The sequence below is a fragment of the Homo sapiens genome, chromosome 6 (genome assembly GCF_000001405.40).
Source record: "Homo sapiens chromosome 6, GRCh38.p14 Primary Assembly".
NCBI lineage: Eukaryota > Metazoa > Chordata > Mammalia > Primates > Hominidae > Homo > Homo sapiens.
The window spans coordinates 25,480,944-25,500,807 of NC_000006.12; the positions used below are offsets into that span (position 1 = coordinate 25,480,944).

The 19,864-nt window shown below is 38.1% G+C and overlaps 1 protein-coding gene across 20 annotated transcripts in view; it reads left to right on the top strand.

Annotated features, from left to right (window-relative positions):
* CARMIL1 (capping protein regulator and myosin 1 linker 1) overlaps positions 1 to 19,864 on the top strand; it is a 341,157-nt gene that overhangs the window by 201,570 nt on the left and 119,723 nt on the right. For all 20 annotated transcript variants that reach the window (XM_017011008.2, XM_017011009.2, XM_017011015.2 and 17 more), the window contains 6 exons: positions 1,314 to 1,400; positions 7,539 to 7,642; positions 10,789 to 10,866; positions 11,005 to 11,081; positions 14,168 to 14,272; positions 19,223 to 19,292. In XM_017011008.2, coding sequence (XP_016866497.1) covers positions 1,314 to 1,400; positions 7,539 to 7,642; positions 10,789 to 10,866; positions 11,005 to 11,081; positions 14,168 to 14,272; positions 19,223 to 19,292 — 521 coding nt within the window. The remainder of the gene's footprint in view (positions 1 to 1,313; positions 1,401 to 7,538; positions 7,643 to 10,788; positions 10,867 to 11,004; positions 11,082 to 14,167; positions 14,273 to 19,222; positions 19,293 to 19,864) is intronic.

The following is a 19,864-nucleotide window of genomic DNA, read 5'->3' on the forward strand; positions in this document are numbered from 1 at the left end:
TCTCCTGACCTTGTGATCCGCCCTCCTCGGCCTCCCAAAGTGCTGGTCCATTTTTTTATTTGTCCCCTTTTTTCCTCTCTTTTTTGCCTTTTAGATTAATCAAGTTTTAACAGTTATTCTGTCTTCCCCCCTTTCCCACATCAACTTGTTAGTCACTTATTTTTTTTTTTTACAAGAGTGTATCAGCTAAATATCAAGGCTGCCCTCTTTTTGTAATTTACAAAATGGATTAGCATACTCAAGTCTCTAGAAATACTCCGATAAAAACCTGTTTAACATGATTTAATCCAGTGATTTTCAAACTTCTTTGACTGTGGAAACACAGTGGGGAAATAGAGGCTCCCAGAACACCCACTGTTCTAGGGGAAAAGCCCATGTAGAGGCTTAGTCTAGCTGCATGACCTCCATGTTGTTTCTTAGAAGTTGTGATAAGATTTGTAGATAATTTGGGGTTATATAAGGGCAGCAACCAGCACAGTAATTTCTTATTGCTGCCTGAAGCTTGATAATTAGTCTAAGGGAACAGGAATTAACATTGTTTAAGGAGCCTTCTCAAGAACATGCCCCTGGGGAAATGATGGCTCATCCATAGCAGGAGGTCAGTTGAAGGACCTGTATGAAGGGCATACGTTTGTGTATTACTTATTTCCTCCCAGAAAACAGTCTATGCTCATTGCAGTCCTTGGATGGGTGAGCTGGTGTTCCCAATCTCCCACTCTGGTTATTAAATTTAGAAGATATCTGATTTTAAATACCATAAATTCCTGGTGAGTTATCCAAAGTTACAAAATCTACTTTTAAGAAGTTAAAACATGCTCCGAAGCTCTGTATGAGGTTGTTAGCTATAAGCCAATTAAGTATAGGAATCCATCTGCCATTATCAGAATAGTTAATATTACTCCATTCTTCTTGGCAATAATTAAATATCATACATCCGCTCATCTAGAAGAGCGATCAACTCATTAAGACAGGTTAAAAAGAAAAGGGGTTAACAATTATCCTTTCCAAGAGGATTTGCATTTTAAATAGAACTGTGAGAAAAAGAGTGACACGTGGCCCCAAGAAAAGTATCTCCAATGGAAAAGTTTCAGATATTGTATGCCTAATAAGACAATCTTCCCCTTCTCTTACCCTGTAGGTAGGACAGAAAGAAAAGGGGACTTGATGGTAAATGTTTAGAAAACAAAGTCTGATATTAGAAAGAAAAATATGATCACTTCAGTCAGAATCAAAATTAAGTTAATTTTCATCCATTGTAAAAAATGCAATTCTGAGAACTTGAAAATTCTAATCGCTTCTTTTTCCTTTCTCAGGTGTGTCCTCTTTAAGTATTCAATTTGCCAAACTCCCAAAGGGATTAAAGCACTTAAATTTATCTAAAACCTCATTATCACCTAAAGGTACAGTATTTCTTATTTACCTAAGAGTGTGTCTGAAATATTTCTGCTGCACCTGCTACCTTAGTTAGAATTATTTGTTACATTTAAAAATACATTAAAAAAATACATTTAAAATATATGTATTATATTACTCTGGCAGTTTGAAGATAAAGACTTTATGTAATTCAATTTTTGATGCTCTGCAGTGAAGTGCTGTCAGAGCAGAGAGTAATTTTGACATGTACATGCAGTCTTTAACTTTTAAAACTTTGAGTCAGGGAACACTTGCCTGTCTGCCTCTGCCCTCCTGCCTCACATTCCAAGATGCACCTGGTTGTGTTTCTCTTGGTTCAACAAGTTGGCCTTTCTAACTGTCAGATAGACTGTCTGCTTTACAGAAAACTGTTGGGCTTAACTTGTGAATCACCACTGTAGCTCCACTCCTTGTAGTTCTGTCTTTAGAGATTTCCTTATCTTCTCTCCAGGTCAGTTCCTAACTTCACTCACCTTCATTTTTTCCATCAAATCCTGTCAATTCATTATTATTTTGCCACAGCAGCACCTCAATAATAATATTAGAAATTATCCTGCATTCTTTGTGCCTTTGTGTATCTTCACATTTTGCCCTGGATGCCTGAAAATTTTTTTTTAATCCCCAAATAGAGAGGTTCAGTTTGTTTTATAAAACTGTTTATCTGTGATAAACTCTGCTGAGATGTGTTCCCTCTTCCCAAGGCCATACAGAATCAATGAGTGTTCCCTTTGTATTACTTCAAGATCACATATGTAACATTATTGCATAAATATTGTGTCTTTCCTGCTACACTGGGGCTCTCCTTGTGGCCTGTGCTTCTCTCTATTTATCTGCAGCACCTGGCACTGTGCCTGGACTACTGTTTAACAAAAGTTTCTTGAACATCTTGCCATTTCTTAAGAAAGCCACTGTCTTTTGGAAACAGTATGTATAGTGGTTGAAAGTGTCAGTTCTGTAGTCAGATTGCCGAAGGTTGAATTCTGACTTTTCTACTTATGTATGAACATGCATTTATAATGTCTTTGCTCCCAGATGCCTCATTTGTAAGACAGAAATAACACTATCTTATTTCTACACAGGTAGAGTTAAATGATTTAATATACATATAGTATGGTTTCTGTCACAAAGTGCTTAGTAAACTGCTACCATCACCCCCACCAGTACCGGCACCACCACCACCACCATCATCATAATTATCATCATCCTGAGCTGTCTTATGTTTTTATATGCCTCAGTTTCTACCTGGAGCAACCTTAGTGTCCTTACCTGGAATGTCTCATGAATTACCATGCATCCTATGCAGATTCAGCTTCTATCTCTGTCTCAAAAAAAAAAAAAAAAAAAATGGAGGTAGATTAAAAAAAAAATCCGAGGTGGATTGAAAAAAAGTCGGAGGTGGATTTTTAAATTTTATTTATTTATTTTTTTGGAGACAGGGTCTTGCTCTGTCACCTAGGCTGGAGTGCAGTGGTACGATCTTGGCTTATTGCAGCCTCAACCTCCTGGGCTCAAGCGATCCTCCCGCCTCAGCCCCCCAAGTAGCTGGGACCACAAGCGTGCACTACCACACCCTGCTAATTTTTTTGTAGAGACAGAGTTTCCATGTTCCGTGGCCAGTCTCGAACTCCTGAGCTCAAGCGATCTGCCTGCCTCAGCCTCCCAAAGTGCTGGGATTACATGCATGAGCTACTGAGCCTGGCTGCTTCTATCTCACTTTCTCTTTGAAATGTTCTCAGACAACCCCCTCTCACCACACCCTGTATGACTAGATGCTCCTTTCTCTGTGTTCCTTAGCCCTGTGTAAATTCCTCTATCTTAGCATGTGTCCATCACATTTGATTGTGTCTTAGCCTGTACATTTCTGGACAATAAGGGCTTTGCCTCGTTCATTGCTGTGTCCTGGCACTTCTCAGTCTCTCACGGAATGTGCCTTGGATAAATGAGTGAAGCAAAGTCATCCCTTGATGATTTTATATCCATGCCATCATACACTATTCTGAACATGCAGTTAAATTAAGAATGGTTTGAAATTGAGATTAGTTCCGTAAGTCCCATGATTTTATGTGCACACATTTATACACACATATTTAAGATTAAGGCATGAAAATAAATTACCAAAGGGATTTCCCCAGGAGTCAGTGTTTTCAGACCTATTGCCTGAAGCCATCTACAGATCTTACAGCTAAGTTTAACTCCTTTACATTATCACTGTTCCACTTCAGCAAATCCATTTTATATAAACCTTTTTCTGATAATTATCAATGTAGTACACATTTATGGTAAAGATTTAGAAGATGCTAAAAAGTATAAATAAGAAGGCAAACCCCCTCCAAACTCCCTTGTTCCTTAGTCCTTTGTATTTCTTTTAGGGAAATCACTAAGTTTACATCCTTTGTTAGTTTTCTGTTTATAGTGTTAATCTATTTTTAAAAAAGTTTATATGACTTGTGTACATATTAAAAGCATTCATTATTGATTGTGTGCTCCATAGGTCTAGTTTAAGTCGTTTATAAGATAAAGGTGGTTTTTAAAAACCTGATTATATGAATTACATCTGTAATTCTAGCCACCCAGGAGGCTGAGGTGGGAGGATGCTTGAGCTCAGGAGTTTCAGGTTGCAGTGAGCTATGACAGGGCCACTGCACTCCAGCCTGGGTGACAGAGTGAGAACCTGTCTCTTAAAACGAAAACAAAAACAAAAAAATGATTATATTAATAATTCTTGATTATATTTATTTTAATTCATTTGTTCATTACTATATAACAAATAAAAGGATGTAGTCATCATTTATCCTTTCAAGGGCAAGTTTGGTTCTGAGGACCTTCAGTGCCACCTCTCCCTGATGTTCCTGTCCCTTTTAGTGTGGTAACAGTGGGGAGGTCCTACGGGCAAAGCTGGGCTTCTCCACCTCCTTACGATGAGGACAGCCCCACGTTGCCTGTACCCTTTACAAATAAGGGTCCTCCCATTTATCTTTTACCTGCAATAAAATATGTATATATTAAAATACATGTTTTGGGAATTAACATTGTTTTATAACATGACTTGAAGAATTTTTATCTTATTTTATTTTATTTAGACGGAGTCTCGCTCTGTCGCTCGGGCTGGAGTGCAGTTGCACGATCTTGGCTCACTTGCATGATCTTGGCTCACTGCAACCTCCACCTCCAGGGTTCAAGCGATTCTCTTGCCTCAGCCTCCCGAGTAGCTGGGATTACAGGCATGTGCCACCACGCCCAGCTAATTTTTGTATTTTTAGTAGAGATGAGTTTTCGCCATGTTGGCTAGGCTGGTCTCAAATTCCTGACCTCAGGTGATCCATCTGCCTCAGCCTCCCAAAGTGCTGGGATTACAGGCATGAGCCACCATGCCTGGCCTGAATAATTTCAAATTGCCCTAAGACAAAAATATCTTGAAATGTTTGTTTATTTATTTATTTTTTTAAATTGACTTCTTGAAGTATTTTACATAGGATCTGAAAGATTCGCAGTTTTAAAATGACTGGAGTTACATTGCAGTGTTAAGCTTCTGGTGAATTTGACTAGCATTTATATTCATGGCTCGATAACGCAAGACAGATTAAAAAAAAAAAAAACTCCCCATGACATCACCACTGCCTCCAAATACCCTTTCTTTATCTCATATGTTAGCTAACTGATAGTTTTCTGGATTTCTAGCAAATGTCCTGCTGGTTGCCAGATTATGTCAAGGCAGAACCATCTGGTACCACCTTTTTCCAGCTGTAAACACTGCAATAATAAGTAACAGAATGGTCAAAATCACTAGACAGCCAGAATCGAGAAAGGCATGTAAATGTGTTTAGTTAGGGCTGTAAGAGCCTTGATTTTTTTTCAATTCTATACTTTTATAATTCTCCACTCTTCGTGGGCTTATTAACACAGGCCTCATGTGAGCATGGGATTAGGGGGCAGCTGAGGAAATCCTTCATGCTGTTTCAGTAGCATGAAGCTGAGCTGATAACATGATGCTCTCTCGAGTCTATTCAGATGTTGGACAACTGCCAAGCGCCCGCACTTGTCCAGGAGCATTTTGCTGTCAGGACTAATTTAGCCTTCTATTTTGGGAATTTATTTATTGAGTTTTGTTATACCTCACTAAGGAAATGATTTTACAAATGATTTTCTTGATGAGAATCTGGTATTGGCCCTATGTTTTGGACTTAGTTATTCCATTAAAAAATACATTAATACTAATATCGGGACAAACTAAAGGAAGTTGGTCGTTTAAACAGTTATAGAAGATAACCTCCAGAAAATAACCTTTTTTTATAAGCCACCATACGTTTCTCTTATCTAACACAATTAATCAAATTTCCTCCTCCTCTACTGCCAAGCTTTTGTTCTTGCCCCATTGATAATTATTGCCTCACTGGGTAGTGATTATTCAGCTGTCTGTGTCTCCTGCTCCACTGGCCTTCAGTGAGTAAGATGGTATCTCAGAAGACCCTGCCTGGTACACAGTAGGATTTCCATAAAGGTTTATTGAAATGAATATTCCTTGTGTGGCACTGACTTTTCATTGTAGAGTCTAATTAAGTTTTTCCCTAATGGTCTTTGCAATTTTTGAGGGTAAAAAAAAAATGATCTTATTTATATTTTAATTCCCAGCATTTTGTTAGCATTCAGTAAATGGTGAGTTGACAGCCAAGAAGTTTTTTGCACTTAAATATTTTTTATTCGAAGTCTCGGTCTCCTGTATACCCACCCAAATGTGCGCCCACTTTGAGAAATGGCTCAGTAGCCTTTATCAGACACACACTAGAATCAGTTTATTATAACTCTCTGAAGCTGGAGAAGACAATGGCCTCTTTATCAGCCCCATACTGAACGTTCTAAGCTCACAGCAGGGAGGTGCTCCAGTGGAAGGCTGCACCTGCACCCCACAGCTCTTGTAGTACCTTCATCGGATCCTGCTGCTATGACCAGAACTGGCTCTTACTGGCAGACCTGACCTTGGCCCCTCTTCTCCATGAAGGGTCTGCCCAAATGTGGAGGGGAAAGAAAACCTTTTCCTGGTTCTTTAGAGTAGTTGACTTACTTGAGTCTCCATTTGATAGGTTGAGATTTTCAAAAAATTTTGCTGAAAAATAAGAAAAACAAAATAATTTATAAAAGGATACCCAATTAAGAAATAGCCATATTTCTAAAATATATAATTTGGAACCATGGACTTTTGGTAGAAACATGAAGAGCTTTGCTATCTCGCACATTCCCATTATGCTAAGTAAAATCATCAGTGCTGTGATGAGTGATTGAGTCTCAGTGAGTGATTAGACCCTTCTGGGCTCCCATTTTATAATGACACACCTCAAAGAGCTCCTTTTCCCTTCTGAAAAGAAATGGCCCCCTAGACAACCATGACTAGCAGGCCTGTCAATAACTGTTACCCACCTATAAGAGAACTTAGTTCTATCCATACAGGATAAGCAGCCTCCTCACATATTCATTCTTTGTTTTCTGAGGTGAATTTGTCAGTTTAGTTCAGTTTATGTTAATTTGAGCCATTTATGTTATGTATGTAAAGAGTGTATAGAGTGCTAATTATACATTTTTCCTTATGATTGCATCTTACATGGTATACAGATCATCTCCTCATTCTTTGTGAAATCCATTTTAATCCAAATGTTTCCTTGAATGTAATACATTTAAGAAGAGCTGTCTACTTCTCTTTTTAACTTCCCAATACTTTAAATAGCCTAAATTATCTGAACTTGGACATGCATCATTTAAACACCAGGCACTAACTCAAGAATCACCTGGCAGGATTAAGAGAAGGATAAACATTGTCAACTAGATTGCTTTCATCATTCTAAGGCTTCAGATTAAAATCCTTTCTGTCCTTGGACACATCAGAAGACATGGATCAAAGGGAAGCCAATTCATTACTCCTTCTGATTCAGTGAGGGGGTTGTGTCTTTGACCAACCTGTTCTTCCTGAGGGTGTATCAAAAGGAGACACAATCATAGCGCCACCTTTCAGGGACAGTGCTCATGGTTAACCTCAGTCCTGCAATTTGATGGAAGTGTTGGGCCATTTATAGAAACACAAACCTCATTTTGTTTCCTGGAGTGCAAACTGAGCCTGGATTTTCTTGATGTTGCAGGGGTGAACAGCCTTTCTCAGTCACTCAGTGCCAATCCATTGACCGCCTCTACCCTTGTCCACCTCGACCTCTCAGGGAACGTCCTTCGTGGAGATGACCTCTCAGTAAGTTTTCTTTTCTTTATTCCATCTTCGAAGAAGCTGTGTTTAATAAGCCTGGAATAATTCTAAACATGTCTTTGTAGTGCATTTTCCTGCCTCTCTCTTTGTCATGACACCTTTGAATCATTTAGTTACGAGCTTATGAAGTGTTTTACTGAAAATTCCAGAGCATTCGTTAATTAAATGTCATATATCACCACAATTATTTTTTTTTCTCATTTAGTGATGCTGAAGTTCACATTTTTTTGGAAGTAATGCTGTTGAAGAATTTTTTTCTTCATTTAAAAACATTAGCTTACAGGGACCAGGCATGGTGGCTCACACCTGTAATCCCAGCACTTTGGGAGGCTGAGGCAGGCAGATCACGAGGTCAGGAGATCGAGACCAGCCTGGCCAACATGGTGAAACCCCATCTCTACTAAAAATACAAAAATTAGCCAAGCATGGTGGCACTTGCCTGTAGTCCCAGGTACTCAGGAGGCTGAGGCAGGAGAAGTGCTTGAACCCTGGAGGCGGAGGTTGTGGTGAGCCGAGATTACACCACTGCACTCCAGCCTGGGCGACAGTGTGAGTCTCCGTATCAAACAATAACAACAACAACAACAACAAAAACCCATTAGCTTACAGGTTAAAATTGCCTGGTAAGGAAGATTGGGCACATTAACTGAACTTTCTCATTATTATTATTGTTACTGGGAAGACTGATGGTTATAGGTTACAATTGAAAGGGAGTATTGGGATAAACCTGAGCACTCGTCTATTCCGTGAATAAAATAGGGAGAAGAGTGGTCAACATATAACCTGGGGCCATTTCTTCGGAGTTTGAATATGAAGGCAAAAACTACTCTCTCAATTATAATAAAATTTTTAATGTAACTGAATCAATAATGTAATATTTGGCAGATCTTTGACACAGTGGATTAGGTATTATCTCATTTCCATATGTGGCAAATGATCCCCTCTAGTCACCAAGATAGAATTGTTTCTTTAACAACATGGCCTACACCCAGCGGCCATCTTTGAATGGCCTTAATTTGCATTCCACTGCTTTGCCACAGGGCTGAAAAACACTGTGAAATTTATTCTTATTTCTCTTGTTTTGGTTTACCTGTAAGGCAGGAAGTACAAATGAAGGCCTTTTTGTATTTTTTTTTCCTTTTCCTCTCCCTTGAACTTAAAATTATTTAAATAATACTTGATTCCTGGTGTGCCACGATTTTTCAATCCATTTTCCAGTTTCAGTTGTTACCTTCACTGACAGTTCATAAATCTGCTCCCCCCCAAAATAAAACAAGGCCAATGTGACACCACCAAAATAATACTGTGGCAAAGTAGAAGAATAGAGGGAAGGATAAAAGGAAAGGCTAAAGATTAATAAGATTCAGCTAAAATAGGAACATTAATAGTCACCTAAAACAACAAAATAGCTCAAGATTTCTTTTTCTGGCCAGGGTGGGTCCTGTTGTAGCTTGCTTCTGGGGAGTGGAACGATGAGACCTGAGTGAGAGTGGGCTGGAGGGGAGAGTGGGCGGGGAAGGCAAAAGTTCCAGGAGCCTGGCGGCAGGTGCAGGAGTTTACCTGACCCTGTGCCCTCAGGGAAAGCAGCCTAGCAGGGCCTGGCCTCTTTGGAGAAGTGTGGCCAAATAGTCTTGTCACCATTTCATGGTGATAAGAGCTCCCCCAGCTGGTAGCTGGGAGCAAAGCCACAGTAAACTTAAAAGTCTCTTGAGACAATTTTTGCCAGGCAAACAGAGAGAGAGAGGCAGAGGATCTTCATGTGAGAGCAAAATGACTTTTCTGAATCAGAACTTTTCATAACAACATCCATTCTATGGCTGGGTGTAGTGGCTCACACTTAGAATTCCAGCACTTTTGGAGGCTAAGGCAGGTGGATCTCTGGGGTCCAGGGGTTTGTGACCAGCCTGGACAATATGTTGAAACCCTGTCTCTACAAAAAATACAAAAATTAGCTGGGCGTGGTGTCACATGCCTGTAGTCCCAGCCACTCAGGAGGTTGAAGCGGGAGGATGGCTTGATGCCGGGAAGTGGAGGTGGCGGTGAGCCGAGATCATACCACTGCACTCCAGCTTGGGCGATAGAGCCAGACCCTGTCTTAAAATAAATAAATAAATAAATAAATAAATAAATAAATAAATAAATAAATAAATAAAAAAAAATAAATGTCATTCTGTGTGTATGGTTATTTTAAAGTGTTAAGTGTTTACAGGCTATTTTTTTGCTCTTCTGAATTCCTTGATAGGATTCTTCTGAAGCACCATATAGCCAAACTGCTACACATAGTAAATGTTTGCAAGGACGTACTCAGTATAAGCTTGTTTGTTTTTGCAAGTATCCAGTGGCATCCAGTGAAGCAGAGGAGAATTTAAGCTATTTGCCTGGTGGCAGGGAGCTTGGACTCAGCTTGTTATGGGTGGGCTCTGGCAGTTGCTACACATACAGGGTAATTCCAGAACAACATTGCTGTTGATGTTCAGTATCTCAGTTGAACTGATCTGTTGATCAGTCTCATTATTTTGATGGCCTTGAATGAGAGGACTGGGGAAGTTTAAGCATTGTGACCCCCTGAAACCAGAAGTGTCTTAGCTATTAGTGAAATTTTTAAAAAAGCACTCATATTGCTGCCAAGCCATTCTTGTTAGCTTTGAGAAGTAACTAAGGGTAGAAAAATCATTATGTCGGACAGAAGAGAGGATAGCCTGAGACCATCCTGTGGTTCAGATTCAGATTCGTAGTTCTGCAAACACTTTCAAAAGTGATTAGCATTTTGATAGAGTGATTGCAGTTCAGGTGGTATTTTAATCTCAGGGGTTAAAATGAATTAGCACGGTTCCAAAATTGTATAATAAAAATTAAGCTATCCAGGAAAACTAAGTCATGCATAACAAAATGGGGGTTTGGTTTTCAATATTCCATTTGGCCTTTTTTTAACTCAAACATAATTTTAACTATTCTTGGGATTTTCACTGTCAGGGAACCTAAAGGAATGACAGAAAATTCTGATAATCCCCTTGGGAAGAGCAGAGAATGATCTGAGAAATTCTGGCAACTTCCTTTTAAAACATTAACTTGCATTGTGTGTATGTGTGTGTTTCTAGAATCCTAACATTTATCTTTTATTTTTTTTCAAGCACATGTATAATTTTTTGGCCCAGCCAAATGCCATTGTTCATCTGGATTTATCCAATACAGAATGTTCCCTGGACATGGTAAATTTAAAATATATATATATCTTGCTCTGAGGGGTCTCAGAAGAGCTATTTAGATGGGATGTAGGGGACCTCTAATAAAAGATTCTCCTGGACCTAGAAATACTTGAAAAGAAGAGTGCCTTATTTCTTTTTCAGGTCTGTGGAGCTCTTCTCCGTGGATGCCTTCAATATTTAGCTGTGCTCAACCTCTCCAGAACTGTCTTCTCTCACCGGTATAGATTTATTTCTGCTCTCATTGTCATCTGGAAGTGTCTTCTTCTGAGAAAAGTTGTAGTGATAAGGAAAACAGTGATAAAGGGTGAATGTTGTATATGAAAGAAGGCAGCCTTAAGCATTATCTATGAATATTAGTCCTTGAACATTCAAGTTTTTGTTTTATCATTTTAAGTGTAGGTTAATGTTCTTACCAATAATTCTAGCCTGCCTGCGTGAACTATGTGATAATACACTATTTCTCCTATGTGGTCAGGCAATCTGTCTTAATATGGGAAAAACCCTTTTAGAAACTTTTATAGGTATTTCTCACGGGTGAGCTTGGATGTAGGTATAAACTACTTTCAGAGAGTAAAGAGAATAGTTATCTCAAAGCTCATGCATTTTCACTTGTAGAAGTAATCGAGGGCCAGTCTGACTACTTCACTTATACACTCCTGACTTTAATTGTTTGCAGAATAAGGCAGTAGATTAGAAGCATCAAGGATTCACAGACAGTAGCAACTTAGAATGCAAAGAGACTGCAGAGGAATTATCAGAGGAATTATGAAAAGTACATGGGTTAGATAGGTATGGAATCTGGGAATATCTAAAGAATTAATACAGTTCAACACTTAGCATTTATAATTATGACCATAAATTATAAATAATATTTTAGTTATATGATTTTAAATAACATGGGTATTGGTTAATATTAGAAATATTTTTATTTTTGCTAGTTTTTAAAGGCCTTATATATTTAAAAGGATAACCCTCACTTATTTGGAAAATTCAGTTTTGTAGCATGCTTTATTCCATAACTGTGCCTTGCAAATCAATTACTTTGTATGTTAAAGTACTATTTTTTATTACTTCAATAGTGATTAAATCTTTACAGTAGCAAAAATATGCCACAAATACCTCCATAGATTAAAGTTAGAGAGTGTGAAGTCTGAAAATATAATGGTGGGAAAAGTTGAATTTTCCATGATAACTATATTTTGGCGAACATTTGAGAGTTTTAATTGAAACCTAGTCAACTCATATATTTGAAGCCAGCTTATAAAGCCATGCTTTGGTGGAGGAGTAATTGACTGGGGAACTAGGTTACAAGATGAAAGCACAGACTATAAAGGTTTTTGTATAATCAGCACTTTTGAGTTCAAAATACTGTGAATTCTGTGATGACTGGTCTTCAGTAGAGCTGTTAAGCTTATAGAACAGAATTGCGCTAACAAATTGTCTTGTCTTCCACATGAAAGGTTGTTATTAAACTGTTTAATACCTAATACGTTACCTAGATATAGTTGTAGAAAGCCCTTAGTAATTTTGTTGAAATTACTGCATTTACGTTGAGGTGTGGATTGTCAGCCAGACTATTCATTCTTTTATTCACAGATAATTTCATTAGTGTATCCATCAGGATAAGTTAGATTGTTCCACAGTAACAGTGACCGCTTTCCTCCAATGTCGATGGCTTTCAGCAACAGTGATTTTGTGACATGTCCATTGTGGGCTGGCATATAACCTTCACTCCAGGAGGCAGAGCAGCCTCCTATCTAGAACATTCACAGTCATATAGCAGAGAAAAAGAGATCATGGCGGTGCACATACTGGCTCCCAAGGCTTCTCTCTGGAAGTCATACACATCATTTCTGCTCACGTCTCACTGGCCAAAGAGAGTCACATGGCCAAGCCTGCTGTCAGTAGAGGGATGAAGCATCATCCTTCTTCAAAAAGGGGCAGTGAATATTTGGAAACACTGGAATGCTCAAAACTAAGACAGAATAGCAGGAGAAGAAATATATTTAGAGTAAGTTAACAGTATTTTCTCAGCAGAAAGTGAACAAGAATATACAACTTACATTGTTCCACTATATGGAAACAGAGTTGTTTGAGATTTCTTATATCACATAGTCTACCAGAATTCTCTTTCCTCTTAGTTTTATTTTTCATCTTCTCAGATATTTTGGTTGTTTAGATTTTTCTTCTCAAATAGTCTTCAATTGTCCTGTTTTAAAACTTTAAAAAAAAACCTGTCAAATATTGACAGATTTTCCCAGATCTCTATACATTAAATATTATTATTATTATTATTATTTAAAGTTAGTTTTTATTTATTTATTTATTATTATTATACTTTAAGTTTTAGGGTACATGTGCACAATGAAGGGGAACATTAAATATTATTGAATATTATGTGGTTGAGCTAAACCACTAGGATGCCCTCTTCCCTGAGATTCCATGAGTCCCTCCACAGAATATGAATAACTATCGTTAAGTGAGTGCTTACTCTGCATCAGCCTAAGTGCTTTACATATACTGACTTATTCAATCCTTCCATCATTTCTATCAGATAGAACAGAACAAGCACAGTGTTCAGATTCCATCTTGGACTCCTGAATCCTGTTTTTCTTAAACCCTTATCATATAGTGTTGATGCTACCTTATTATTGAGCTGTATGATTTGATCCACATACTTTTCTCTGTAATAGCAAGGGGATGTATTCAGAGGTTATAGCCATTTTATTTTGTAGTTTTGTCTTTCACTGTTCTAATAGTTGGCCTGAAATGATTAGGTTTTTGGTATGGACATACTAGCTGAATAGGCTATTTGTAATGCAGGCTTCGTGCCATTTGGACTTTCTGTGCTGTTTTAGCTCAACATCAGATCACAGTCTTGTTGCATGTGAAACCTGCTACATCTAAAAACATTGCCAAATGCAGATATTGATCTCTAACATTTTGTGCCACCCAGTGGGAAAGCCTTTAAATTGGTGAGAAATATACATCTTCTCTGACCTCCTATTTTTAAAAATTCCAAACCTGGAGTTTCCTGATCAAGAGGTAAAACTCAATGAATTCATTGGCTATGAAGAATAGCAATGAATTGTTTTATGGACTAAATATTTCTTTACCTCACTTATGTGGTTCCTTTAATGATATTGGATTTATGGCTTTAGGTTTTGGACATTTATTTGTTTCCATTTACTTTTAAATTTCTGCAGAAAATATGACTGATTTGTAGATTTCACAGTGTCTGAATAATCAATGAATATGTTTGATGAAGGTGTAACCGCTTGTGTAACTCTTGTGTTTTTTTCAGGAAAGGAAAAGAAGTACCTCCATCTTTCAAGCAATTTTTTAGTAGTTCTCTGGCTTTGATGCACATCAACCTTTCAGGCACAAAACTGTCTCCTGAGCCCTTAAAGTGAGTGGTTAATTCACTTTCTCCAGAGCTTTTAAAGTTCAACTTATTTTTACGAATGTGCTTGAGGGAAGGGAGAAAGATATATAATCCAAAGACAAAAACCACAGATGAGAATGCCTTTTTACTCTGGGGCAGAAAAATAAATTAAAATTTTAAAAAGTACATTGTGCACTATTGATATTATTGCATCTTCTAAGAAAAAACATCTTTTGGTTTATGACCTTGGCAGGAGTCACTGATCTACAAAAGTTGTACTCCCAGGTACTTACTATTGCTTTTATATTAACCTCTGTTCATTCCATTTCAGGCATATTCGTTTGTTCGTGTGTGTGTGTGTGTGTGTGTGTGTGTGTGTGTGTGTTTTCATCAGCATTTACTCTAAATCTTTCTACTAATAGTAATAAACTCTAAACACATTGTATGTATGCAACAGAATGAATTTTTAGCTACTTTGGTTTCTGAATTACTGAGGTTAGCATGGGCTATTTGGCACTTTTATTTGGCAGCCAACTTATGGGTTAATATCCCTAGTGTAGGTATAGTGGTGAAGTTAAAATTGTTAGCTAAATTGAGGTTTGAGAATAATTTATTATCCTTGAGATTTCTGTTGACTATTGCCAGAAAGAGTCAAAAGTTTAGTGTACAAGTTCAGTGAATTTGACTGTAGGGTCAAATTCTCTTTGAGTCTAAAGAAGGTATTTTCAAGTAGTTACGATTATGAAAGTTGTCAGATATGCTCAAATGTATGCATGGATTTCTCCCTTCCCAGCTGACTGTAAATCAGCATTTAATTTTTCCCTTGTAATGTGTATGAAATGTTAAAATTAATGTCTGCTATTCATCTTACTAGAAAATTAAGCTTCATTTAATTTATAAATTTTCTTTTCCTTTTTTATTTCTGTTTTGAGAGGTATGAAGTTCTTGATTTCATATAGTACCAGATGACCAAAACAATGGATGCCTTTAAAAAAGTAGATCCAGGCTGGGTGCGGTGGCTCACGCCTGTAATCTCAGCACTCTGGGAGGCTGAGGTGGGCAGATCACTTGAGGTCAGGAGTTTCAGACCAGCTTGGCCAACATGGTGAAACCCCGACTCTACTAAAAATACAAAAATTAACCAGGCATGGTGGTGCATGCCTGTAGTCCCAGCTACTCAGGAGGCTGAGGTGGGAGAATCGCTTGAACCCGGGAGGCGGAGGTTGCAGTGAGCTGAGATTGCACCACTGCCAGCCTGGCAACAGAGTGAGACTCCATCTCAAAAAAAAAAAAAAAAAACCAGTAGATCCAGTCAAGTGCTGAAAAAAAAGTCTGATGTTATATTATTGCAGGCTTAAAAAATGTTGAGTTAATATATTAGAGATCCCTAAATATAACAGCCACAAATAATAAACACCTCATGATTTGGCCGTTTGTATGGATATTAAGAAAGCTATCAGAATTGTATTCTAAAGTTCCATTATAATCATTCTCATTTATGTATTCATTCAAGTAATACTTACTGAGCATCTACAGTGTGCTAGACACCGGATGACAGGATAGGAAGCAAAACCAGAGAAGGTCCTTGTCCTGGTAATATATCAGCAGGAAATTAGAATATTCAAAATAGTTTTCTATTTTTAATTGTTTCAATGTTGTTTACTTTTGTATAATATAGAGTAACATTTTGTTGGTTAATGTGACTGATTTTGCGGAATATTCCAGTTTGCAACAAGGCTGGACTTACTGTACTTTGTTGCATATATACCTGTAAATGTTGTACTTCAAAGATATTTTGTAATTGTTAAATCTTGGACCTGATGTTATTGGTGTGAATGTTTGATAGTGTTAAATCAGTAGTCTCTTCAGCTCTGTGTTTTAATCAGCAAAAATTTTAATATGGGGAGAAAGCCTTCATGGCTGAAGATTGTGTAAATAAAATTCCATGTATACATTTAATGTGATATAATTATTTGAAAAGATAACACAAAACTGAAGTTCTCAGGTTTATGTGTGAGAGGGTGAGGATGAAAAGGAATTTGCACAGTACTACCCTAAACTAGACACTGCGCTGGGTGCTTACATATGGCCTGTCACCTTTAATGTGGATGACAGTGATGAGAAGTTAGTATCATTATCCCCATTTTACAGCTGAGGATATTGAGGCTCAGAGAAGCTAAGTAATTTGCCCCAAATCACTGTTGAAGATTGGGTTTCCTGAGCATCTGACTTTGAGATGGAGATTCGCAAGTAGGATATTTATAAGGACATTCTCTTGGGATTACCACCGGTGAAAAGGGAAGGGGGAGAAAGCAGGATCAGACAAAAGGGAGAAGCTGCACTGGGAGGCTCTTCCAGTAAAGAGGAAGAACCCAGAGGGGGTTCTGGGAAGTGCCTAGCAGTGTCCGCTGCTCTCAGCCAGCTGTCATGGGCTCAGCAGTGTTCCCTACCTCATTCCACCTTCAACTGCAGAAACCCTTGTTTCTCTAAGGGTTTGGGATTAGTAGCCATGAGAGAATAAACGAAAGCAACACAATTTCTTTTGAGACAGCGCTTTAAGTTTGGACATAACAATATTTTTCCCCACAAGTTTCCCACTTAATTTGAGATTCTTTTACAAGCGAATTGGGGAAGTAGAGTGTTATGCTGGAGGTGGAAGGGGGAAGCAAGACAGAGAATATGACCGCTTACTTCATTGTTGCGATTTTCCTTTGAGGCCTTTTTTGGTCCATGTTAATGTATTTCAAGGGGGTTTAGAGAACATGGTGATGCTGTTCCTTGGTGTTTTCTAAAATTGCTAGAATAGTCTGGTTCATATGTGTCCCAAGGATGCTCTTTGCTCCAGCATCACTCAGAGTGCAGTGTGAGTTCCTGGTTACTGCTCATTCTTGGTCTTTCATTTTCCCTCCCCCAAGCCTTTCTTCCTGGACATCCCCTTTCTCCCTGTCATGTGGTACCCCTTCTCTGTGACCCCATCTTTCTGGCTGAGTATTTTTCATAAACCTGTTGAATGTGCTACCCTGAAATTATAACTAGTGCCACCGATCTGGAGCTGGAAGAATTAAATACAAATTGTTCTCTAAGCAATTTTGCAATAGTGATTGAGGATCTAGAAGATGGTTGTTAAGGCAATTTTGCCATCATTAGGTTAAAATAAACAACATATTTTGCTATAGAATTTTTCCCCAGTGCCCAGTATGCTTTATTGTATTTGTTCTTTTATTTTACTAGGGACAGTTTCTATGGGTTATTTATTTTTACTAGTCTCATGAGTTGTTGCCTCCTAATCATTGGGCTTCTATAGTTAAATGCCTTAAAGCATATCATTTGTTTTCTTGGCCTTAATTCACATGTGAGAAAAGTAGGAAGTATTTTCCTTCCATATAAGCATCATAAAAATGCAATGTTGAAATATGTGTCTAAGTCCTAGAAACTCAGCATATGTTGGAAATAAAAGGGACCTCTTTGGTAATATCCTAACTCTCTCATTTTACTGACAAGAACTTGAGACACACACGAAAAGTGATGTTCTTAAGGTCATTCACCCATTACTCGCTGGGCTGGGATGTGAGAACTGGCCTTTTGGTTTTCAGCCTCCAGCGCTTTCACTGACTCAATACTGCGCCCATGAAAGAAAGGGGGCATAGTAATTTTTAGGAAAAGAGAAGCAATTTAATAAGCAATTGAACAAGTACACAGATGAGATATACCCAGTCTTTCTCAAAGGACACTGTTTTAGAATAAGGGATTAGTGAACTGAATTTAAAAAGTGAAAAGGAAGGCACTCACCTCCAGCCTCCTAACAAGGTCAGGGAGTGGGAGGAGGGGGGTTTTCATAGCTGGAGGCAGCCGAGCCCCTATGTGTTCCATGCCACTGCTGGAGTTCTCTCTTAGTAGATAAAGCCAGAGAATCACTAGAAAAGAAAGTCTCAGAGACTTGGGCATAAAATAATTCCCTACCTTCCCACCTCACCCTTACCCTAGGGTATTTTTGGGGTATGCTGAGTGGAGGTCCTTTTCCTGGGAACATGGAAAACAGGTAATCGCCCCCAGTTAATAAATACCTGGTTTCCACTCTTCTAGTACTTACCACTGGCAGCCTTGTGTTGGAGTTATTGGCACACATATCTGTTTTCCTTGCTTGAGAGCAGGAACCATCTTATGTTCATCTCTATGTTTTTCACAAAGTCTGATTTAGGGTCTTCTGTCCACTTAGTATAATTTAGTGGTTGTGTGTGCATGTGTGAATTTTCTGTTTCAAGCTTGCTTGATGGTGTTGGATTTTATAGGACTGACTTGTCAAAGTGGATCCAAGTGATTAGTCTAATCTCCTCAATTTGCAGATGAGAAAATTCCTTTTCAGAGCAGTGATATGATTTGTCTCAGCTCAGCAGGTAGTTGGACAGGCAGGATCCTGGACTCCAATTCAAGACATATGCCTTGTTTTATACCCTTGCCCACCCACTACTGTAGGTCGTTTAATAAACTCATCTAGATATAATTTGACATCCTGTTATACTACAGAGCCTGACTTCCTCACTTACATATTCCTTAGGGAAAACTAGCTTTACTTTGCGACTCTAATAACAATTGCTTAATAATATTCTAAACGTTATTAAATCTCTTCTCAAGCAGATGCAGTGGGAATTTATCTGTGATGAGCACAATTTAATTTCAGTATGCAATTAGGTGTGCTGTTGGTTTATTTGCATAGGAATAGCAATCCTGCAGGTTTTACATTTATGATGGGCTCACTGCCTGTCAGGCAAAAAGAATGCTGCAGAGTCAGTTTTTCACTGTAGTTGTGAGGCAGAAATGCTGTTGGCATTTTAAAAAGTAAGAGGGTGCTTGGTGCTTGACCTGTGATTCAGAAAAGGCAGCCTTCTTTCTCTAGGCTTTATTCAGTGTGCTTGCATTTTTTCTTTTGGGCAGTGTGTGGAATGTGTATCTAATATGTGTGTTTCCTCCCCTCAGAGCACTGTTATTGGGCCTGGCTTGTAATCATAACTTGAAAGGGGTTTCTCTGGATCTCAGCAACTGTGAGGTAAGAACACCCTTAGATTGTATACTGGAATAGATAATAGCCTCAACCGCTTTGCCTTTTTCCTGGATAAAATTTGATACTGTGATTCCACAGGGTGTAAATGAAGCAGAAAAATAAATTATACAAGTTTCTAATGTTCTGTATTTTGCAAGTTTCATCTACAGACAGCCACAGAACATCATTTAGAAAGCTTTCAAGTGTGTTTTTAATGACTTGGGTTTTGTTGTTGTTCCATTCTTGGTGCCTGCTGGCTGAGTATTTTATGATGAAGCCTTGAGGTATAAAACCATAGACTTGCTTTGCCGTCATGAAAATGAAACATGCAGCATTTGTTGCAAGGGACAAATGTGTATAACCTAACTTGGATTTTGTAGAGCGTGAAAGAGAATGGCTGTCTTATTAATTTTACTTTTTAATATCTTGATTTAAAACAAGAAAATTAACATACCTCTAGAAAGTATAGCAATTTCAAATACTTCCTATCAAAGAGCTCATAAGAACTGAGACTAAAGTGTCTATATATTTATATATTTTTTTTTCTTCTTTTTTTGAGATGGAGTTTTGTTTTGTCG